The 25,380-nt window shown below is 37.6% G+C and overlaps 1 protein-coding gene across 53 annotated transcripts in view; it reads right to left on the reverse strand.

The window, feature by feature from the left end:
- DLG2 (discs large MAGUK scaffold protein 2) overlaps positions 1-25,380 on the reverse strand; it is a 2,173,362-nt gene that overhangs the window by 309,377 nt on the left and 1,838,605 nt on the right. For 52 of the 53 annotated variants that reach the window (NR_165353.1, NM_001351274.2, XM_017017256.3 and 49 more), the window contains one exon: positions 22,302-22,404. Coding sequence is in view for 52 of the 53 variants with exons in the window: in NM_001351274.2 (NP_001338203.1) it covers positions 22,302-22,404 (103 nt within the window). In the remaining variant the exon portion in view is untranslated. Of the gene's footprint in view, positions 1-22,301; positions 22,405-24,420; positions 24,504-25,380 lie in introns of those variants that run through there. The other variant, XM_017017287.2, reaches the window with a different exon arrangement.

The following is a 25,380-nucleotide window of genomic DNA, read 5'->3' on the forward strand; positions in this document are numbered from 1 at the left end:
CAGATTAAAGCAATTTGAATGAGTGGTGCTGAAAAGAAATGGAAATCACAAAGGCCAGTTGCCCCAAAGGGGTGTGCAGGGAAGGGAGAAGGCAAATGTCACTGACCTTGCTGTGGTGGTGAGGTTGGATGGGAGTTACTCTATCTTTCTGCCTGTCAACACTTGGGATTTATTATCATTGAGTCACTATTGTAAGAGCTTTATAAACATTAACCTACTTAATCTTCAAAATTATCTTATAACATAGCTACTATTATCTCAATTTTATTAATAAAGAGACTGATACACCAAGAGGTGAAGTGCCTTTCCCAGGGTCTCACAGCTAGTAAGTGACAGATTTAGGGTTTGAACACAGGACTCTGGTTCCAGAGTCTGTGCTTTGATCACTTCATTTCAGTGCATCTTTCTTCACTCAGGAGGTGTTCTCTATTTTAGTCATTACAATACTATGGCCTTTGAAGCCAGATGTCTGTGGTCTGTCCCAGACTTGAGGAGAGACAAACTCGGCTCTCAGGCTGCAGAATGATAGGCTGATAGGCCTGCCCTGTAGGTGTGGTCAGGCAGAGATGGCCGGCACACTCTCTAGATTTGACTTGGATATGATCCATGTTTTTAGAAATACAATTAAAAACTTTACTTAAAATTACATGTTCTGTTATAGTATTAAAATGACATCTCCCCTGTACCCTCAAATCCCAGGTTAGAAAAAAGTAATGTTTGACTTTCTTTGTTCTTTTTTGTCCTGGCATTGTAAAATATAGCCTAAAGAAAGTCCTGGGGAACTGCTCATAGCTATATGTCAAATGAATTATTTTATCAGTGTGTTAAAACAATTTTTTTAAGCCCACATTTTCTCTAAAACTCTTGATGGAAAATTAACATCTTGATGGGATACAGAATTAAAAACAAATACTTTAAGAAATTACTGCTAGAGGAATTAATCAAAATACTGAGAGGCAGCAGATTTGTTCTGAAAATAATCCTGATATCTGAGTTTCTGTCTTGAAAAGGAGAAATATTTACCTTTTAAAATTCCATACTATAAATACATTCTAAATCAAAATTCTGGCTCTTGATTGTTGTTTAATATCCAGAAAGGAAAATGGCTTTTGATTTGGGGTTGGCGTTTAACAGAAATCACAAAAGTGTCCATTTGTACACCATAGGCTGGATTTGGGCCTATGATACTAACAACATACCTTCAGTTTTAACAGAGGTTAGATATTTAATGCAGCATTAGAATCCAAGATGTAGACAGATGTCTCAGACAGACAAACATGGTAGCCAAGTAGACCTTGCTTTTTCAGCCTATGAGAGTGAGAGCTGTGTCTTTGTTCCTAGTGCCTAGCAAAGGGCTGGAACATAGGAGGCACAATATATGTACAATTGAGTTTCTCCAACTGAACAGAGATAGAAAACTGTTGCCTTTGTGCACCAATGGAAAGTTAAGGTATTAGAATTGCTACCCAAATATACTCAATAGTGATAGTGTATGTTTGTCTGGAATGTAGATGTAGATAATAAATAAAAAGTAGATTCACATGAAATTTTGAGAGCACACTTGACAGCATACAATGTCCATTTTATTTATTTCCTTGACACTGTGTTTTGCTCAGTTACTTGGATGTTGACAAATGCTATTATCATATTTTCTTCTTAGAAGCAATATGAATATTAAAACTAATCTTGGGAGATTCCACTGAATGCTTTTTTTTTTTTTTTTGAGATGGAGTCTCACTCTGTCACCCAGGCTGGAGTGCAGTGACGTGATCTCGGCTCACTGCAACCTCTGCCTCCCGAGTTCAAGCAATTCTCCTGCCTCAGCTTCCCAAGTAGCTGGGACTACAGGCACGTGCCACCACACCTGGCTAATTTTTTGTATTTTTAGTACAGATGGGGTTTCACCATGTTAGCCAGGATGGTCTCGATCTCCTGACCTCATGATCCACCCATCTCAGCCTCCCAAAGTGCTGGGATTACAGGTGTGAGCCACCATGCCTGGCCTGCCTTTTTTTTTTTTTTTTTATAATGAGTTATGAGTTAAGCCTATTTATCTTTGGTATTCTTCTTTGTGTTCCATGGCAATGCAGATTCCACTGTGTTCCTCCTTCTTATAAATTTGAAAAATGAGGAAAAATGAGATTGTGTGCCTTTAATTATATTATCAGCAATTGAGGGAAAATACAGGTACCATGTATTTTGCCAAGGTTATCTTTTCTAACAAACTGCCTGTTAATTTGTGGGAATGCTTCTGAGTCATTATTAGCAATGCTTTTGTTTGCTATTGTCTCTTAGAATCTTAATTTCTTACATATATTTTCTTTCATTTTTCTAACTTGATTCTCTCATCATCTTTTATGGTTTCTTAACATTCTTATTTACCAGTAGTAAATACAATTATTATCATTTTTTCTTAGTAGCTCACAGCAACATACATTTATCTGAGAGTCTAGAGTTTAGAAGACAAAAATAGGTTTCACTGGAATAAATTATCTGTCCACAGCACTGCATTCCTCCTAGAGGTCCAGGGAAGAAACTGTCTTCAAAGCCAGCGATGCCCTGTATAGTCTTTCTCGGGCTGTCAATCTGGTCTCTGCTTCTGTCATAACATCTTCTTCTCTGACTCTCCTGCCTCTCTTTTTCTATCAAAAGGCCCTTGTGATTAGATTAGGCACATCCAGATAATCTAGGATTGACTTCTCATCTCAAGATCCTTAATTTCGTCACATCTGAAAAGTCCTATTTGCCTTATAAGGTGACGTAATCATAGGTTTTAGGTATTGGGATATGGACATTTTGGGATTAATTATTCTGTAGTGTTCTTTTTTTAGGATAAAATTTTATTTTATATTTTCCCCTCTACTTTTAAGTTCTGGGGTACATGTGCAAAATGTGAGGATTTGTTACATAGGTAAATGTGTGTCATGGTAGTAATAATTATTTGATTAGAGAATTATCCCATCACCTGGGATTACAGTTATAATTCAATTAGGTCCTTGTTCTCATGGAGCTTATTTTCAACTGGGAGAAGGAAGACCATGGCAAATAAATATGGTAATTATATGTGGTGACAAATGCTGTGAAGAAACTAAAACAGGCTATCATTTTACAATAAAAAGGTAGCAGGCTCTGATGGTCAAGAGCAGGGAGGCTACAGCCAGACCAGAATTTTAATCTCAGCACTAATACTTTGCTGTGTGATCTTGGGCAAGTTATTGAGCCTTTCTGTGCCTTTGTTTCTTCATCTCTGAAAAGGAAACAATCATAGCCCCTATCTCACAGGCTTGTTTTAGGGATTACATTAATTAATACATGGAATACATAGAACCCTATCTGATATACAGTAGGCACTTTGCAAGATTAACTTTTTTTTTCATTATTTTAGTAATTAATACCTCCCGGATACTTTCTATCAGCCGGAAATTATTATTATAACTTGTCCATCAAAATTACCCTATGAAGTAGGTGTTAGTCCCTTTTCACAGATGAGAAATCTGAAGGTTGGAGAGGCTAAATAACTATCACAAGGTCATGCAGCTAGCCAAGTAGCAGAAGCACTGCATTTGACTTCTGCTCTGTCCTCAAACATCTTTGCCTCTCTTCATAAGACGTAAGTTTGATTTTTTCTGAATATTTACTTTCTAGTGGCTCATTAATTAAGCCCATTATATCCATAATCTCACATTTAGGACTAGCGAGATAATGCACATTTACTGACAATAAAACTCATCCTTCTTAGCCTTTTTCTTTTCTGATTTTTTTCTTATACAAAAGAAAAAATTTTGCTGCTGCCTAAAGTCAGACTGATTATAACCTCAGCAACATCTTTTATATACATTTGACTTAACTTTATTCATATAGAATTTATTAATTACGAGCCAAATATCTTGCTCCTTAAAGGTTGCATGCAGTTTCCTGTTGCATCTGTACCTTCTACATTAGATGCTTTAGAGTAGGGTGCTTTAGAAAGTATTTCCATTTGTGATCCCCCAGATTTCACCCATTTAGTTGAAATTCAAAATTGCTATTATTTTTCTTTTCATGACTTTTTCAGATGTCTCTTTTCTTTTCCTAATCACAGTTCCATTTAGACCAAATGACATTCAGAAATTCTCACTTCGGTGGTAATCTGCTTTCTTTAACATCCAGTTTTAAACCATAATCACTACCCTCTTCCCTCAATTGCTCAGATAGTTGGTGTATATTTTATTAAGCAACAACTTGCCAGATTTAAGAAAAGTGCTCTCTTAGAGCAAAGCATCATTCTAAAGCCCCAGGGCTTGGCAGCACAACGTGGCTCAGCAGATCCTGAGGCCATGCATATAAGTTTAATGAGGCTGTGAAGGGAAAGTGCTGTAAAATCCATGAACTTCGCCCATACTAGTTAAAGGAGCATGGCCTTTTTCTCCTTCTAAAGAAGTGAGGAATAGGTGAGGACCCAGAGATTGGCAGTTAAGATCTGGCTGTTGGCCCCCTCTTGGAGATATGGTGTTTCAAATGGACACCAGAGTCAGGCAGGCCATTATCAGAATTTTGCCTCTTCTACTTAATTGTTGTGTAACTTCCCTGGGATTTTATTCTATCATTCACAAAATGGGAATAACAGTGTTTACAGTGCTTTGTGAGAATTAAATGGCATAATGTACATAAATATTTAGACATACTGGGCACTCCATAATGATAACAAGTATTATAACTAGTTACTACCTGTTCTTTCTACATTCACTTGTGATTTTTTTCTGAATCCTTGAACCCAGTTCATTCCTTCATAAGTGGACTTTCATGATGGTGTAGAGCAAAACCTCTCCTTTGGCTTTGTTAGTTCACCATTTATTTTTATTATTTTAAGGACTAGCCATCAGCTTCTCCACATGAACCTACCCATTTTCATGATGCTTAGGCTTAAAAATATTACTGGCACTCAAATTTTTATTGATCAATTGACTGAATCATTCATCAAACATTTATTGACTTCCTACTAGAGTCACTCCTTTCCCCCATGAAGCTCATAGTCTCTGGCCAGGTCAGGTGCTTGTTTACATGAAGTACAAGTCTGAGGGAGAAAGGCAACAACACAAGATGCTGAGATAGCACAGAGGAAGCAGTGTTCCTCTCCTGGGGATGGAGTGTATGGTTAGGGAAGGCTTCCTAGAGGAGAATGACTCTAGCTTCTTTTTTTTTTTTTTTTTTTTGAGATGGAGTTTCACTCTTGTCGCCCAGGCTGGAGTGCAATGGCGCAATCTCAGCTCACTGCAACCTTCTCTTTCCGGGGTCAAACTATTCTCCTGCCTTAGCTTCCCAAGTAGCTGGGATTACAGGCGCCCACCACTACGCCTGGCTAAGTTTTGTATTTTTTAGTAGAGACGGGGTTTCACCATGTTGGCCAGGCTGGTCTTGAACTCCTGACCTCAGGTGATTCTCCCATCTCGGCCTCCCAAAGTGCTGGGATTACAGGCGTGAGCCACTGTGCCCCGCCTACCTTGTTCTTTGAAAGTAAAGGTGGGTTCCAGTGGCAGCTGCCCCAGGGCCTGCTTCCTCTTCCTAAGTCTGTTGTCCTCTGGAATGGAGGGGTGGTGCTCCAATCTGTGGTGCCCAAAAACCCAAGTTTATTTCTCTCTTAACACTGGCAATAACCCGTCCACATGACTGTTGCCTTTTAAAACCTCTTAATAATGTCATACTGTGTTTGTTGTTGATTCCAACTAAATTATCACCAGGGCTGTGTGGGTAAATGCTTTTAAATACTCTCTCATCTTGCTCTTTCCCCTGTATGATGCTAATCTTGTCCCTAAGTAAGTTTCTTCCTGCTCCTTTTGTACCTTCCTTTCTTGTCTTTCCTCCTACCTTTTGTCTCGTGGTGTCTGGTGTTTTTTTTTGTTTTTTTGCTTTTTGTACAAAGATTAGTTTCAATGTAGTCTATAGCCTCCTTTGTAAACCAGTTAAAAAGTTCTTTAATTAAAAAAAAAAAGAAAGTAAAGGTGTGTTAAGTAGGCAAAGGAAAAAGGGAATTCTGGGCAGAATATAATTACTAAGCCCCAGAGGATGAAACATCAAGGCCTGTCGGGTGAAGGATGAGCAATTTGGTGTCATTTGAGTAAACATTCAAGGAGAGGTATAGCTGAGAAGAGGATGATAAGAGAAGACATACATTTGGATGTATAAATTTAGAGGAAAAGTGCCCAAGAAAACTGCCTGACATATAGTAAATGCTTGATAAGTGCGCTTATTTTTTTTTCTTCTAAAGACCAGCTCTTGTTTTATAAAATAATATACATTATGCTTAAAAGCCAGATATTATACTTGATTTTCTTTATAGCTTGTTCTGTACTCTCAGGCTTTCTGTAAAATTTTACTTTTTATTTTTGGTTTATAGTTAAGAAAGTCAAAGATGGAAAATACAAATTGTGAGAAAAAATTACAATAATGTATCCTTAATATTTCAACATCAACAATCACAAAACGAACAAATAAGAGATTAATAAGAAAATCCACTTTTTTTGCTTTCAATAAGAAAATTAAACATCCATATGTCAGCAGACTATTAAAAACGTTTTCTCTTGAATCTATTAGAAGGAGGGAAAAATGCATTCCTAATGATAAATAGAACTATCCAAGTTGAAAACATTTGATTTTCCTCAGCAATTTTCTCAGCACGTCCTTCTGTCTCCCACACCCCTCCCAATAATCTTCACATCTTCATTTCTTTGGAGTTTGTTTCAGCTTTGTTTTGATAATGATAGTGTAGACACACTACTTTCATTATTTCTCACTAATAGTTACCTAAAGCAACTATTTGTCTGCAATTTTATAGATAATTGTGTTTCTTTTAGAATGCTCTTTGTGTTTCTGCTGCTCATTACTAAGTATACAACAGTGGGGAATTGTCTCTAAAACCCTACTACTCCTTCTTTTGCATACTGGGAAAATCTCCCACAGTGAAGAATGCCTATTTTTAAGAAATTCAAATATTTCTTTTTCTTTTTTGTAGGAAATTCAAGTGTTTAAAAGAAAATAAAAATACAGCAATGTGTTGCTTAACAATGGTGATTATGTCTTTTGGTGTCACGGGAACATCTCAGAGTGCACTTACATGAACCTAGATGGTATAGCCTAATAGACAACTAGGCTGTGTGGTATGGCCTCTTGTTCCTGCGCTACAAATATGTACAGCATGTTACTGTTACTGTACTGAATACTCTAGGCAACTGTAACACAACGTAAGTATTTGTATATCTAAACATATAAAAAGTACTATAAACATATGGTATTATAATCTTATAAGACCACCGTTGTATATGTGATCCATTGTTAAACATTATTTTGTGGTGCATGATTATTTTAAAAATTTGGATAAATGGGGTATGATTATTTCTATTACCAAGAAATCAATCATTTATAAAATCAGTTCTTCTGAGTGACCTTCAACAGAGGTATTTACGCGTTGACTATTGCATAATGAAAACGGATTATAAATATCTTTATATGAAGATGTCTATGATATGAAACTGGTTAATTTTTGCACATATTTCCAAGGGAATGGGGTGGTTTTAACCTTGATTTCATATCCCTTTAGATGCCAGTAACCTCTTTAAAGATTATTGTGTTCCATTTTTTTTTCTAGAAAATCACACCAGTTAATGAAGTACAATTGCATGGAGATTTCTTTTGTAACTTGTGATCCCTTGGCAATCTACAGAAGATTGGTTATTATGATAGTCACATTGAAAGAAAAATCTAGGCCGGGTGCGGTGGCTCATGCCTGTAATCCTAGCACTTTGGGAGGCTGAGGCAGGCAGATCGCTTGAGCTCAGGAGTTTGAGGCCAGCCTGGGCAACATAGTGAAACCCCGTTGCTACCAAAAATAGAAAAAAATTGGCTGGGCATGGTGATGTGCACCTGTGGTCCCAGCTACCTGGAAGGCTGAGGTGGGAGGATCCCTTGAGCCTGGGAGGTGGAAGTTGCACTGAGCTGAGTTTGCATCACTGCACTCCAGCCTGGGTGAGAGAGCAAGACCCTGTCTCAATAAAAAAGAAAAGAAAAGAAAAGAAAAAAAAAGAGAAGGAGGGAGGGAGGGAGGGAGGAAGGAAGGAAGGAAGGAAGGAGAAGGGGGAGGGGAAGGGGAAGGGAAGAAGGAAGGAAGGAGGGAAGGAAGGAAAAAAGAAAGAAAGAGAAAGAAAGAAACAGAGAAAGAAAGAAAAGAGAGAGAGGAAGAAAGGAAGGAAGGAAGAAAGGAAAGAAGGAAGATCTAATGCTATAAAATTATTTCTGATTTGGGAAAATATCTTTAGGCATGAAGAGCAGGTGTCAGTGGTAAGCCAACTAAGAAATCACAATGTTTCATTCCTTAACTCCCCAGGCCATTACACATTCTCCTGTTAAGTGTTTTTTTCTTCTTTAAAATAATACCAATAAGATTTACCTGTATTCCTCTATGGTCTTAGTTTCAGATTTTATTTAGATAAGTTTCTCATTAATTTAACTGGCTACTAATAGGGGCAAGAAGAAATTGGGATCAATGGAGACGAAGAGGATATGTGACTTCTCAGTGTACACATTTTAATATTATTTTGATTTTTGAACCCACATATTATGTTAGCATTAAAAATAAAGTTAATATACCACCAAGCATTCACTCATCAAACAGGTAAATAAGTTTTCTCAAAATATGATTAGCAAACTTATGGAAAGCCTGATAATTCTATGCTCCAGCTAGTTATTATTTGGATAATAAAATTAATTAGAGTATGATGCTGAAGAAAGAGCACAAGAAATGGAACCAGAGCATCTGGGTGCAAGTTTGGCTCATAGTATTTACTAGTTGTGTGACCTTGAGCGAGTCACTTAACTTCACTGAGCTTAACTTCTCTTATCTATGAAATTACAATGATGATAATACCACCAGTATATTTACCTCTTGGAGTTGTTCTGTAGATTCAATAAGAAACACACATGAGAGCGCTTTGTAAACTGCAAAGTCTTATACTTGTGCTAGCTAATATTTTATATTTCAATTAATGTTTCCAAGACTCTATTTTCAAATTCTCAAAGCCACTATTAAGATCATTACGAAATATGTTTATTTGTTTGCTTAATCTTTTGCTTTCATGCACCAAACAACCAAAGTAAAACTGAGTGTGTGTTTGTCTTTAGTTAACCTGGTCAGCAGGAGTGTCAGAATCATTCTTGGAAGCAAAGAAAATCTGCTCCCATAGAATGGCTATTTTTCGGCATTGAAGATCAATATTTGGGAGCTCTAGTTAACTAACAGAACTCCCAACAAGCATTTCAGCGGGGATGAATTTACTTTGTTACCCATAGTTCGAAGAGAAACTGCAAGGTATGGTCATTTTTTTGGCCCATTTGTTCATTCCACAAATATGTATTGAGTGCCAACTCTGTGCTGGGTGCTCCTCTAGGCACTTCGGACACGGCTGTGAGCAAGACAGACAAAACATGATGCTCTCATGGAGGTTACTTTCTACTGGAAAAATAACTGAGCTTACAGCTTTTTTCATCCTAAGCACACAAATACCTTAATCTGAAGAGCATTTCTTGCCTTCTGATAAACAGCTTTAAAACTGTTTTTTGGTGGTAAGATCCTTGCTTCATGTATCCAAGACCAAACATGAAAAACAAATAAAGATTGCTCTGGCTGGAGTGGGACTGGGGCCAGGGGCCAGGTTGTCTCCTCCTACACTCCCCATCCCTGCTCCTGCCATCCCTCTGCCAGACCCCAGGACTCTTCAGAGGACAGTTTATTTGAAACTTCCACACAGGGCGTTATCTCCACATCAGTTTTGATACTGAAGACATCCTGTAAGTGCCTGCATCCACAGTCTCCCAAGGGTTTTCTCAAGTTCCATTCCTCCTCTGGGTCTAATTATCTCTCTCTCCACATAATAGCCACATTATAGGGTTTCTGTTGTTTCTGATAATTATGATAATAACGATAATTATCGCTTATGGAGGACATACTATCTGTCAGGACAGTGCCAGGCATTTTATATGTACGCCTTCGTTTAATCCCCAGAGTCATCCTGTGAGATAGGTATGAATCATCATTTTACAGATAAAGAATGAGACTCCAAGAAGTGAAGTAATTTTCCAAGGCTACAGAGCTGTTAATGGTGGAGCTGGAATTTGAACATATCTATCCGATTTCACAGTAGGAATTCTTTTTTTTTTCTTCCTATATTTCAGGCCCATCAGCAGGAAGTAAGGAAATTCTTAACTACTGCTGCTTCCCAAACTCTGTGAAGCTCTTTGACCCTCTCAGGGATAGTTCTAAGTATGGTGCAAAGGGCTGATTAGAGCAAAGGGCAGCACAATGCTCACTCAAATATGTGTTGAAGGTTATTACACTAGCTGTCATTTACGCATGGCCTACTCCATTCTGAACATTCTACATCCATTTTCACTAATCTTCCAGCAACTCTGGAAGGTAAATATGATTACCCCTACATTCCTGGTGAAGACTCTCTGGCACAGAGAGGTTGTCACTCACTTGAGGTCTCACAGCTAGCAAGTGGTGAGCCCTCTGCTTGCCTTTATGACAGCTTGGGGCCAAACTATTCCTAGAGCCAAACTATTCCTAGAGCCAAGCCCAAGACTCCCATATCCCCCAAAAGAACAACAACAATTTTAAAAAGAGAAAGAAGACATACTCTCCTAGCCCGCATCTGCTCCTAATCCAGGCCCTACTCCAAGCCGCTACTGTCGGACTCCGTTCTCATTTACAACTGGGTGCTAAACTCTCCAACTCCACCAGCATGAACCCTCCTAACTCTATTTCCTTGTCTGACAAATTTTGTCCCTCCATATCCCTCTCCTGGCATCTTTTTCTTTTGGTTTCTCCACACCCATTCCAAACTATTTTATTTGTTTCCTCTTCAAGCCTTTTATTACAGCATGAATCTGTTTATATTTTCTTCCTTTTATGAGAAACAGGATGGTGCACGGGTTGTTCTGGAGCCTTTCTGCCTGAGACTGAAACTTTGTTTTACTCTACTGTATAGTTTTTAACCTCGGGAAAACCACTTATGCTTTCTGTGTCTCAGTTTCCTCATCTGTAAAATGAGTAAGGGAATATAACCTATATCACAAGTTTTTGCAAAGTTTAAATGAGTTAACACATGCAGAGATTTTTAGAAAGGTGTCAGGCCTGTAGTGAGTGCTTCATACATGCGAGTTTTAATTATTCTCTTCTTGTAACCATGTCCCATTCTCTCTACATCTTTCTTTTTCTCTCATCTATATTTTACTCTGCTTTAGCTACACATTGTTTTAAAAAGTAAAAACAGAGTTTATATAAAATAAGTTCATTGTCATTATTCTTTTTTTTTTTTTCAATTTGGTCTACATTTAAATGCCTACTATTAGCCAGACACTGTACTAAGGAAAAAGAAGGAATATAAAGATGAATAGCCGGGCGCAGTGGCTCACGCCTGTAATCCCAGCACCTTGGGAGGCCAAGGCGGGCGGATCACAAGATCAGGAGATCGAGACCATCCTGGCTAATACGGTGAAACCTCGTCTCTACTAAAAATACAAAAAATTAGCCAGGTGTGGTGGCAGGAGCCTGTAGTCCCAGCTACTCGGGAGGCTGAGGCAGGAGAATGGTGTGAACCCAGGAGGTGGAGCTTGCAGTGAGCAGAGATTGTGCCACTGCACTCCAGCCTGGGTGACAGAGCGAGACTCTGTCTCAAAAATAAATAAATAAATAAAATAAATAAATAAATAAAGATGAATAAAACATGCTTTTCTGTGAAGGGTTTGTTAATTTTTTAATTAGCCAATCATGCTTTCCATGTTTTCAGGAAAGGATGAATTTATGTATTCATAGGTCCATATTTATGTCTATTGGTTTTATCACCTACATCCTTCCCTGAATCTATCTACTTCTCTCTACCTATTCTGCCACCCCTCTTTATTTTTTATTTTACCTTTTTTACAGATAGGGTCTTGCTCTGTCCTGCAAGCTGGATTGCTGTGATGTGAACATAGCTCACTGCATCCTTGAACTGCTGGTCTGCCACCATGCTTATCCAACTAGCACCATCTCTCACACAGACTCATGCCTTTCAACTGGTCCTACCCCAGCCTCTTCGGTGCTTTCTGGCCTACTTTCTATTCAGCAGCCAGAGCCATCTTTGTGAACAGCAAATCTGATCTTGCCAGCCTCAGGCCTAAAACCTTTCAAAGGTCCTTTCATTGTTTTTAGTAGAAATAACACAGTCCTGTGTGATCTGTCTCTGCTTCTCTCTTCTGCCTCCTCCAGTGTTTCTCCCACATTCCCTGGTTTGCTTTCAGTCCCTCCACTGCACCATCCTCTCTCCTTCAGATACACTTCAGATATCTTTCCCTCCTGAAATACTCTTCCTCCTTTTTCTGCTATGCTTTGACAATACCTACTCACCCTTCAGATTAAAGAAAGTATTATTCCCGTGGAATGCCTTCTTGACGCTCTCCTCTAGGTCAGAGCTTTTGTTTGTCTTCGTTTGGTCTGGTTTAGTATTCTCTGAGTACATTTGAGTACCTAGACTTTAAGATTTTGGATCCAAGTTCTCTTCTTTTTCTTGAGCATTCACTTTGTATAATTCGTTAGTGTGATTTTACTTGGCTGACTGTAGGTCCATTAGGGAAGGAAGGGGCCATGTCTATTTTGCTCACCATTGTATCTCCAGAGTGCAAGGCAGCATGTCACTCACTGGAATAATTTAATAAATATTAGCTGAATAAAGATTGAATGAATGAATGTTGTCCTGCCATTGCTTAATTTTACCAATGTGCCAGCAATTCTTTAGTAATAAAGTAAATTACTTTTAGCAATGGGAACATGATAAATGTGAGGAAGCTAAGAGGAGAATAAGAGATTATCTTGAAACAAAGTGCAATTTGGAATTTTTGTCTTTTAAAGACTTAGGTAATGAGTCTATCAGGAATTCTATGTGAATTAGGAATCTAAAAAGCACATTAAAGATGTATACTTTCTATTTCTTGGGCTTGGGTTTCCACCCTAAAGCTGCCACTACTTGTGATTCTGACAGTTCAAGACATCTCCACTATTTCAGCTTTCTGCATCTTTAATGTCCTGAAATTGATTTTTTACATTACTTTCCTTCAGCCTCAAAAAATCTATCTGCAAGTTTAGCAATTACAATTTAATTTATTAAACTGATAAGATTTAGGCCACAATGGTTCTATAAACAAAAAGATCATGAACAGTAAGTTGTTAATCCTGAAACCCCCAAGAAACAATAAATGCTTCTACTTGAATTAAACTTAAAATCATTATTGAATGTTTCAAATCCCATGGTACACAGAGACAGCAAATTACACAGATACAGATCTTTCCCCTTCTTCCGAGTGGGTGAAAGATAATTTCTGTGTGTTTAAAATGTATGGGGAAAAAAGGAAACATTTAGAAATTACCTTCTTGTAATAATTGTTATTTGATGGCATGTTTTAATCAGAAGACACAATAAACTAAACTTCATAGAACATCAGCTGGAAAGGGCCTTAAAACTAATCTCTTGAACCACCTTAATTAACAAACAATGGAATCCATGTTCAGAAAAGTGATATGACTTAGGCGTGCTCAATAAAGTTGCAGAGTGAGGGACAGGACGAGAAAAGTGCCTCATTACTCATTATTAAAGTTGAGGACTGACAAATAGCTATTCAAAGAGATGTGAGGGTAAACTATACTGGGCACCCAGAATATAGAGTGAAGTCAGAAAGTTTTAAAGCTGTCTTGCTTTATAGTCCTCTTTGCATATCTCTGTGCAACATTCTTTTACAGTTCTCTAACACCCTGAAATTCCTTATCAAATTGAAGGATTATCTAGTGAAGATCTGTGTTCATTTTGTAATACTTGTAGAGTCAAGAGTAGTATTAGAACCCTTTATTTCCATGCATTTGATCTGGGTGTTGCTAATGATAGATGTGAATCTAAGAGGTCTCCTTGTTGTCAAAATGTCTCTAGCACAAGGATTTATTTGGCTTTTTCCAGTATTAATGAGTGACTGATTTATGTCACTAAATGTCAACATACCCCTCAAATAATATAAAATCACAAGATGAAACTGTCAAAGATAAATATACTTTATTACGGAATGAAAGTTTTTATGGGGATGTTCGGAACTGTAATCATACAATGAGAGGAGGTTATATCTATTATTAACCTATAATCAGCTTTGTAAATATTTTTAACCCCTTTGATATGAGTTAAAGATGCACCATTCCCAGGATAGATAATGAGATGAAGAGAGTTTTCTAATTTAGGAGTTAGGAAGTGATACCTGCTTTTGTCCTTATTATATTACTCGAGGTCAAAAACTGGCTGTTAGGCATGGGGAGAGGTATGCAGCATGATTAATTATTAAGGAATCTGGAAAGGACCTTTCATGAATGAATCTGCAGACTGTTCAGGAATCATCTTTTTAGTCATATTCTACGCTGCTATGGGTTAGATGGAGGTTGGGGAGGAAACAAAGGCAACTAGGAGAAGGTTATTAAAAGGATACAATAAGTGAAGAGACTTCCTGGGAAGTGTCTAGTTGCTGGCAGAGGCCTTTTTCTGTTAGTAGAATGTGTACATGTGTGGGAGAGAGTTGTGGAGAAAGAAATGTCTAAGCAATAAAAATCTAGAGTCATGTAAAGTTTTATTTAAGTTTCTTTCCTAATATTTCAGTACAAATTAGAATATGATAACTAGATTAATTAGAACATAATTAATGTAACATATTAGGTGAAATTTAATACTTGGCAACAAAGAGTATCACTAAAGACAAGCTTATTGATAACAGATAAATGAATGGATAAGCAGCTGGCTGGCTGGCTGGATAAAGGGTGTGCACGAAGAAGGTAGGATGGAAAGAGAAAAACTGTAATATATTTGAACTACTTGTTGAAAAAAATAACTATTTCCAGATTTGTGGCTATTTTAAAAATTAACAATAGTTGCCTACACTTACAATAATGCTGTCATGTATACATCATTCAGTTGTGATACAGAAACAATAGCAATTAACAACAGTAACATGCTAGAAATGAAAGTGATGCAGTATGCCCGAGAAAGTGGTGAGGCTCCCTCAGAAATTTTTTGACCCCTTTATGTCCATTTGATTATAATAATCTCATTGCATTCCATTCCTTGGGCTATTAAAGCCACTCCCCATCATGAGCTACTACAGTAAATTTTAAAAATCAAGGAAATTACTAACTGCTCAGCTAGCCTCAGCTTTAACAGCTATACCAATTTTAAAATATTAAACGGCTTTCCTATCTAGATGCTGAACTTTAGTTCCTCCATATGTGAAATGAGTAAACTTGACAAGATTATCTTTAAGGATTCTTAAAACTTTTAATTTCTATTTCTTAGTGATTCTAGTTAAACTACACAGAATCTATCAAGTTAACTAGGTCGTGCATTCATTTCTCCTTATGTATTAAAAATGCAAAGAAAAGATGTAATGTTAGCGACAAAACTTTCAAGTAATGAAACTTATGCTTCTATCTCACCTAAGTTGGAATTTGCACTAGAAAACTGGTCTTGTCCAGTCCAAGTCGTGTACGGTACTTTCTGTTCTGAAAGCTTACTTAAATGTTCTCTGATGATTCTGATGCAATTTCTGATCAAGATCCACAGCTGGACTTTAAAAATCTTTCCTGGGTATTTGTGATGCAGTTACGTGAGTTGGGAAAATGTTTCAACATGCCACAGCTGCTCATTCATATGCATAAGCCTACATAGATGTTGATTTAAAGAAAGAAATATGTCTTGCATTGTAAGTATGCTTCTTGGATGGCGTATGTACTTTCATTTCTGAGAACCTTCAGGTACAGAAGGTGTCCATATTTTTCAAGGGATAAATTGCATATTCATGTCAAGCTTTCATTATATCTTTGACCCCATAGAGAAATGCACCGTGGTGTCCAACTGTGGTTTAAGCTCTGTGACAGTGGTTACCCCAAATAACATCAGAGTTTCACTTATTGCTGAAAAGAATAGTTTTCCTTCTGAATTAGCCTCACAATTTAAAAGGAGTGAAACAGATTATTTACATGAGTTTCTGCATTAAAGTGTGGTAAGCTATTCAAATTTTCAAATTTTATAGTGAAGCCTTAATGACTTTCCCTTGGTTCATAGAGGCATCTGTGAGGATAGGAATCAATGTTACTTCATCCCAACTCACTGCTTCTAAACTCACTTGCTGTAGAGGTCATAACTAAAGGCAATGAAGCCCGAATAGGTTCATTGTCTCACTAGCTGAGGAGTTCTAGCAAGACTTATGAATTTGCTTGATATTGGTATTTAGATGGGCGGGGTAGACAAAGTAGAGCTGAATGGCACATGAACTTCTTAGATCTCCTGCAGTTTGACCTATCCCTGCTAAAACCACTGAGCCATGACCAATCATTGGGTGACACATGCCAGAAATCAAATCTAGTGATGCAGCCTCATGTGACTTTGCCCAGTTCTCCAGGTAGAGGGAGTCCAACCCAACAGTGACAAGTGACAATTTTTGCAGGGTCTCCAAGTATGTTAGGGCAACGCCTCACAAACTCTAATGTGCATACAAGTTATCTGGGGAATCTTGATAAAATGCAGATTCTGATTCAGTAGGGTTGGGTTGAGACCTGAGATCTTACAATTCTAAGAAGGCTCTCATTTAATATCTATGCTTTTGGTCTGTAGACAACATTTAGTAGAACAAAACTCTAGAATAATTCATTTCTTCCTTCAGATGCCTGCATAGCTTACTCCCTCATTTCTTTTAGATCTTTGTTCAAATATCACCTTATTAGCATGGCTTTCTTGCCCACTATATATTTCTCTGTCACTATTGTCTTTCTCCTGCTGCTTCTTTCTTTATACTACTTATCACCATGTGACACATTTTACATTTATTTGAGAGGGGCTTTTTTGGTTCACTGCTTTGTTATTTCCTTATAACATGGACTGAGGCATAATAAGTATCCAGAAAAAAAATACCTATTGATTGAATGAATGTATAAATGAATAAATGAACCATGTGGTCACTCTGCCACAATTCCATAAACCAGACTACACTTATGAGTCTCCAGGCAATTATCAACTCTGCTTTTTGGGCTTTTCTTTTAACTCCAGTACCTTATTAAAGAATAAAGGGTGGATGAAATCAGGTCCCTTCACTATCTACCGAAGTTCCTCATCACTGGTAAGGACTGTACCATCCACGACTTCTTTTCTACCTGCAGGCCATTCTGAAATCCTGGCAGTCTCTCCAACAATGTCCTGAGAAGTCATATTCAAGGCAAAAGAATTTGTGGTTCTCACAGGGACCACTTGGCTCTTAACTCCATTTTGAGCTTTATCTAATACTAGCTACTGCCTACCTAGTTCTCCAAGTCAATATCTGTGGCTTATTATTTCAAACCTAATCAGTTATCTCACAATAAATGTAGATATTATTAGAAAGAAGGCAGCAAATACAGATCAGATTTACCCTGATCTGACTTGGGGAAATGCTGTGTTATCTTTTTTGAAAAATGTATAATTAGGTTGTAATCAATTCCCTTTTTATTCATCAATGGTGTCAAAGTTGAGTTTCAGAACTTGAAAAAAATGTTAGTGCTTTAATCATCTTATCTTTGTGCTATATTTCAAAACAACAGCTGTAGATTTTCTGCAATGCAGGGGAAATGGAGTTTATCTACTAGGGTTGCTAAAGGTTTTATGACTGAAAACCAAAAGGCACCATCTAAAAACTGTGTCAACACCAAATGTCCAAACCAGGGATTCAATTACCATCTCTGAATCTAATATAAAAACCCATGCCATTCCTTTAATAATTACTCAGCAAACATTTCTTAAGCACCTACTATTAATATATGTCAACACACTGAAAACATTATATTGCATTTAAATTAAGAGCAGACCCATTCAATAACTCATTAATAAACCATAGTCAAATTCATATTGCATGGATTAACACAAGATATAAAATGAGTGACAGAAGGGTCTATCACAGCTCCTAGTGCTGTCTAGGAGCTCACTCGAGTGGAGAGGTGTGCAAACTGTCATAATGGGCACACCAGGTGTTTACATACAGTTTTGGGGAACTCAGATAAAGAATCAATTAATGCTGACTAAGCAGATTAAAAATGGCTTTGTAGTGGAATTGACATCTGTGGGCTCTCAAGATGAGTAGGAATCCTGCAGGTGGAAAGGGAGAAAGGCAATTCTGGGTAGAGGATTCCACAGAGCAAAGGCATAGTTCAGGAACAAGTGTAAGAGCAGACAGCAGTCCTGTGTAGCAGGGGTACAATGAGAAAGGCTGATACTGTGGGTGGTGGAGGGGTGAGTGGGGTGAGTTGGCTGGGAATATATTGTGAAAGACAAGGAGTTAGTGCACAGGGATCTTGGTGTCATATCTCTTAGAAAGATAATTCTGAAATCAAAGGGGAAGGTTTCTGGGAAGGGTAAGGAAAGGGAAGGGGTACCTGTGGGTGCACATGTGTGTAAGACATTATATTTCCTTCTGTGAAGTGGCATTACAGCAACTTCACTAACTGGGTATAGGTAATTAAAGGTTTGACAATAATTAACTTTGCATAGTGCTTAAATGGAATTATTATTGAAGTACAATGTATGTAATCCTCTTGAAAGAAAGAAAAACAACTTCATTATTTTCCTCTTCTTATGAAAGTAATACATGTTAATTTCAAAGTAAGTGCATGATAAAATTGAATTTTAAAAGTTGGCAAAAATGAATCACAATCACACCACCAGAGAAAAACATCATATATGACTCTTCAAATTGGTGTCAATTCTACTACCATGAACCAGACACTGAATAAGATTGAGGATGGATATAGCAATGTGGACAACTGGAGACAAGCTCATTTTAAGCAGAAGTGAGTAAAATTGTGATCTCGCTTTGTAAAGTGAAACTTGCCAAAGAAGACATTTATTGCTACATTATGTTAATTAGACATTTTATAAATTATTTATAATTATCACAAAAATATGCTAAAGACTATGAGGAACACAGTTGGAAATTGTTTGATATTTTGCAATACACATTTCTTTAGCAATTCCTTTATGTCTTTGAAGCAAAAATGAAAAGCGCAAGTAGTGAAAATGAAGAATCCCTTCAACCTTTAATTACCTTCAAGTGAAAACTCAAGTGCTGAGGAATGGTAGGCTTTTATCCACTAGTTCATCAACTCTTTAAGAAATACCAAGTAGGACACCAGAGATAGAGCTATCAGCTACCTATATTTTGTTAAATATAGGTATGGTGTCTGCATGCATGGAACTCACAATTTTGTAGTTTAGCAAGATATTCTTTCTCCCTCCACTCCTGAATAGAAATTTCACCCATTTTTCAAGGTCTGGCTCCATTTCCACATTTCCATGGTGCACTCTTGCACTGTCCTGACCCCTTCAGGCTTATCCTTTCTCTGACATTCCATAATTCCTAGAAATACTGCTGCTAAGATCATTCAATCTGATCATATGTTACCAGGAACTATACTCTATTAAATGTATAAAAATCTCTTTTCCTCAACTAGATTAAAAAAATCCTTGAAGACAAAGACTATGCTTATTACTTAAGGTTAGGGGCAGATTTTTGTGAGCATCTGATAATACTGACAGATACATTTAGGAAATTTTTGATAAAGCATTTGATTATGACTGAAAAATGTATTCACTGAAAGTCTAATTCTTGACCATACTAAAAGTATGCCAATAAAATCATCTGCCAGCATTGTCTTAAGGGTTGAACGACTTACAATATGGGTGCAGATAAAGGGCACTTGGTGAGAATTTCCTAATGGAATCTCATGAGGCACTCTTCATTTCATTTGTTATTTTAAAGGTAAATTATTCTTTATTTCCTAAAACTGTTGTACAATTTAAATGTCTCTAAACAATAATTCAATCACTTTTTCATTGAAAACTGCAGTTAAATTAAGGCTCAGTTACACGTAAAGTTTGGATAGGAGAGGAAAGAAATCTGATTGCTTGATGTTGCCATTACCACATTTCCAACTAATTTAAAGCTGCAACAGATTAGTATACAGTTAGGCTATTAAAACAGAGAAGTCATTCTGTGAATCCAATCTGTACTTTGGCATTTTGTAAAAAGCTTGTTGTTATCTGCAGGTTTCTTTACAAGCACTTTAAAAATCAATTTGTATGATTTATAGGACATGCTTTGAACAAGCATCTTGATAAACTACAGCATAGTAACCAAATTAAACATATTGCTTAAAGGAAACCAAGATGTAAGGAAGCTCCAGTAGAAAGATGAAGATCTACATTGATAGAACAGGGACATGTTTGTCCTTTTATGTAAACTTTAAAGCTTGAAGTCATTCTGTTCAAGGTTATTTGAACACTTGATCACTATCGAGAGCTTCTAATTGCTTATCTATGATTCTAACCATCTTATCGTCTGCAGAATTGTTTGAGATGAGATTTTTCAGAAACAGGAAAATGGGGACATTTATGTTGCAATGTCAGGCGATGGTGAAGGACATACAGTTTGAGACTGAAAAAAACAGCTATTAAGAAAATGGAAGATTCCGATGAAAAAGTTCTTACTCTATATGAAGTAGAACTTGTTATTCAAATGGTACCAGCATATATCTTTTAATTTTCAGCTTTATAATGGATACTTATTTTTTTTTTGAGATGGAGTCTTGCTCTGTCACCCAGGCCAGAGTGCAGTGCCACGGTCTCGGCTCACTGCAAGCTCCACCTCCCGGGTTCATGCCGTTCTCCTGCCTCAGCCTCCTGAGTAGCTGGGACTACAGGTGCCAGCTACCACATCTGGCTATTTTTTTGTATTTTTAGTAGAGACAGGGTTTCACCGTGTTAGCCAGGATGGTCTCGATCTCCTGACCTCCTGATCCGCCCGTCTCAGCCTCCCAAAGTGCTGGGATTACAGGCTTAAGCCACCGCACACGGCCTATGATGGATAATTTTTAAAGCATTTGTCCCTACTGAAATACAAGTCTACTAATATTTAGCAAATAGAAAGACTTTTCAAAACTATCTGAGAAGAGAATATTTCCTTGGTGTTGTCATCATCCATCTGTGACCATCACAAATCTCCTCTTTCCCACTCTCTGGCCATATCTGGCCTAGGCCACATAGGAAAAAACATTTATTAAAAATTTTGAATAAATTAATTTCAAATTCTAATTCTAAAGCCAGGCACAACTGAAAGTAACATGTCAAAACATGCATGGAAGAAAATATTTTCTTTATTCATGGGCAGACCATGTGATTGGCCACCATTAATGGTAAGATCTAAGCTGTCACAGGCAAGACACAAACCTCAGTCTTCCAAACAACAATAGACCCATCGATGCTAACAAATCATCACTTGAAAAGGAGCTCCTAATACTCATATGCACAGAGACTCTTCCTTGATGACATCTTATACTCTCATGTTCAGCTGTTTAATACTCCTCTTTGCTAGCCATATGGACCAAAAGCAATGCGCTTCATTTCTTGAAGACAGTAGCCATTTTCCTCTTCTTTTTTTAATAACAAGATCTGACCCATAATTGTGTGCTTACATTAAGTACGTTTCATTTCCAAAGGAGCAACCTATATATGAATTTTCTAAGAAATCAACCATACAATAAGTAACATCCCAGTTGTCTCATTGAGCCTCATTTTAAACACGGAAACAGATGTTTAAATAAACCAAAAAGCAGGGCATGGCTAATCCAATTTAGGATATCTCATCAAGTTTAAGTTGGCTAATCTAATTTACATGATCTCACTGAGTCTCATGGTTTACAGTGATTTATTTCAAACAAGGGATATTGTAGGAGTAAAGGCAAAAAAAATGTCAATCAAGCACCCCCAAAAGCCATGTTAGTGTTAATGAGAATTAAGTTAATGCCATGAGGAGAGAATATGGTCTACTGGTCTATTTCTGCAGATGAAATCTCTCCCTTTTGCTTCTTAAGTCTTAACTGTTTTTACAGTATCCATTGGTGACCGAAAGTGTGTACCACATAAGAATATAAATGAAATAAAGCTGATGCTGGTTGCTATTTATTTGAATTCATATTTTCATAGGCCTTTCTAACTGCTTGATATTTTCCTGGAAGATTAGAGGTAACAAAGCCACGGTTCACGTTCTTTGGACATGAACCATCAATTTTTCACTATAGGTAGGTTTACAAAACACCAATGATGGTGACTCTAGTTAATAAAAATTATTAGTAATGAGGGTACAGATCCACACAGAGACATATCAGAACATTATTAGTTTGAGTTCTGACTGACCTTCAGGTTGATATTGTGCTATAATCGTCACTGTCTGTCCAGCCCCCTTTAGTGCAGCAGCTGCCTGCTCGTGGGATGCACCACGGAGGTCAATGCCATTCACCTGAAAGAGAGGAAGCCAGAGAATCTTGGTATTTCATAAGGCATATTATCCTGATAGAAGAAAAAAGTTTCCCAAAACCAGGCTGTCTAACATTATATCACATGCCTCAGAAACCCCTCATATCCTACTCAGGTGTTTGTGGACTTTCATGATCTTAATCACTTTTAGTTAGGAGAGACATTAAATTTCACCTTGTGGTGTTTGTGCCATGGTCTGACCGGGTTGGAAACATTTTTATCTATTCATGTTCTAGTGTATGCATTTAATATGCCTCTGTGAGCTTCCTAGATTTCTAGGGTAAATAGGGATAAATATGAGCCTTCAAAATTAGAGGGAAAACAGGATGATAAAGAGAGACACATGTAATGTAAATAGACAAATATATGCTAAAAGATTAAAACATTCAGATGAGATTCTGGGGACATGGTATAAAATGGGGCCAGATGGTTGCCAAATCCCTCTCTGTGGTCAATTGTCTAGCCTTGTCATCCTGAGCCTGGTTAGACAGCCTTAAGCCTTGTTTTTTTTTTGTTTTTTTTTTTTTTTTTAGACAGAGTCTCGCTCTTTCGCCCAGGCTGGAGTGCAGTGACGCGATCTCTGCTCACTGCAAGCTCCGCCTCCCGGGTTCACACCATTCTCCTGCCTCAGCCTCCCAAGTAGCTGGGATTACAGGTGCCCGCCACCACGCCCGGCTAATTTTTTATATTTTCAGTAGAGACGGGGTTTCACCGTGTTAGCCAGGATGGTCTCGATCTCCTGACCTCGTGATCCGCCTGCCTCGGCCTCCCAAAGTGCTGGGATTACAGGCGTGAGCCACCGCGCCCGGCCGCCTTGTTTTAAAATATATACTTGACTGTCCTATTTCTCATATACAATTCTAGAATAAATTCTGACAAAATGAAATAAAGAGTGCCTGGAGTTTATTTAGCTATTGCTAACTCCCATTTTGGGTCCCATACTGAAAGAGAAACAGAAATGTCTTAAAAGCTCCAAACTCTGCCAGGGTGAAAGGCATTCTTAACTCAAATTTAATAAGAAGAAAATGCTAAAATTTTTCTTGAATCAGTTCAGCCTAAGTCAATATAATGTAATTAATAAGTGCTCTCCAATGACAGAGTTCTCTGTCTGCCCCAGAAGAGGGACAATGAGTGGAGCACAAAGGGAGACAAGATAAGCCCTCAAGAAGTTTTTCTGATGAACACACAGTAAGTATGGGTTTCTAACCTACAAAAAACTAACTTTTTGCAGATGATAGCAGAATTCTGCTTCCTTTTATTCATGGGGCAGGTTGATATGGGCTATGAAAGAAGAATAAAGAACTGATTAGCTTATACACGTTCAAAATGTATAATCGTATTTTGCTTTTCATCAATCCTATTTGAGAATGACATTGGGTGGCAGATGGGGGGTTACTACTTTGTTTCCCCATCAGGCCTGGGACATCCATACGCTTAAATTCCACATCATGATCCTCTCATAATAACTTCGTTAACATCTCCTTATTCTCTTTTGTAATTTTCCTTGCCTCATCCCTGGCTTTCTAGTGTGGTGAACTCCTTACAGAAAGCATTGATTACATGGTAACATTGGGGAGTCCACTGAGCTAGGCCTGATCTGGCTGTGCCACTCTCTTGCTGACTGTCATACTACCTGAGACTCAATTTTCTCCTCCCTCGGAGGGAAGAGACTGTTAGGCTATATGAATCTAAAGCCCCCTTAAAGTATAAAATTCCAGATCTATTCTTGAGTTATTCTTGCTAGATATAGTCATTTCAGAGACTGTCTAGGCTATTGATGAGTTAGAAGTATGAATCTGCTGGCCAGAAGAGACAGGAAAGGTAATTAGATCCAGGCTACTGCCTACAGGAGGCTGAATTGCACAAACTTCACATGCCAAATAATTTATTCTCTTGTCAAACAGTTAAGGTTTACTTTTTATAAAAGAATAAAATGTGATCATGGCAAATAAATTCTGTTTCAGAAAGGTCTAAAAGGAAGAGGTAAAAGTCCCCTCACCATCTCCATTTCCAGTGGAACCACTTTTATGGATACTTTTTTCTTTTAGGATCATCTAATATTTCTTTAATCATAATTCTAGTTCCATAGGTTTTCATGTTATGGCAATTTGTACCTGAGTTTAATGACAGAAAAGGCAACAATTTCTAAATTGGTGGTAAACATTTCTTTACAATTTTTTAATGTAAGGCCATTTATTATAATAGGCAAACTATAAGATGAAAATGAAGGCAACAGATGAAACGAAGGCAACAGAAAAGCTCAACTTCTCACAACCAATAAAATTAGCACAACCTAAGAAATAATTTAGAAAAAAGTGTTGTTAGAAGATATGTTGTAGATCTCCATTCCATTACCCAAGAGTATGCCAATTCATGATTCTAAATAAATCTTTTTAAAGTAATAGATTAAAAATTCATCTTCAGTGTATACGTAAATTCTGTGTTTTATCACACGGGTATGTTTATTCAACACTATCTTTTGAAAATGGGCCATTTAAAAAGACATAGCAATTTCCATTCTGTTTAATGCATAAAAATCACAGTGGATAGCAGCAAAGGACAGGGCGGGGCGGGAGGGGGGGCAGCATTGAGGAGAATTTGATAATTCACATTGTGATTATTCTGCACATTGAGGAAAGGTAATTCACACTTCTAAAACCTCAAGACTTCCCTTTTTAAATAACCAAAATAAACCCAAGACACCTTGCTGACACTTCCCCACCCCTAAACAAACTGATGACTTTTTTTTTTTTTTTGAGACGAAGTCTCGCTCTGTTGCCCAGCCTGGAGTGCAGTGGCATGATCTCAGCTCACTGCAGCCTCCGCCTCCTGGGTTCAAGCAATTCTCCTGCCTCAGCCTCCTGAGTAGCTGGGACTACAGGCACGTGCCACCACGCCCAGCTATTTTTTGTATTTTTAGCAGAGATGGGGTTTCACCATGTTGGCCAGGATGGTCTCA

The sequence above is a fragment of the Homo sapiens genome, chromosome 11, assembly GCF_000001405.40.
Source record: "Homo sapiens chromosome 11, GRCh38.p14 Primary Assembly".
Taxonomy (NCBI): Eukaryota; Metazoa; Chordata; class Mammalia; order Primates; family Hominidae; genus Homo; species Homo sapiens.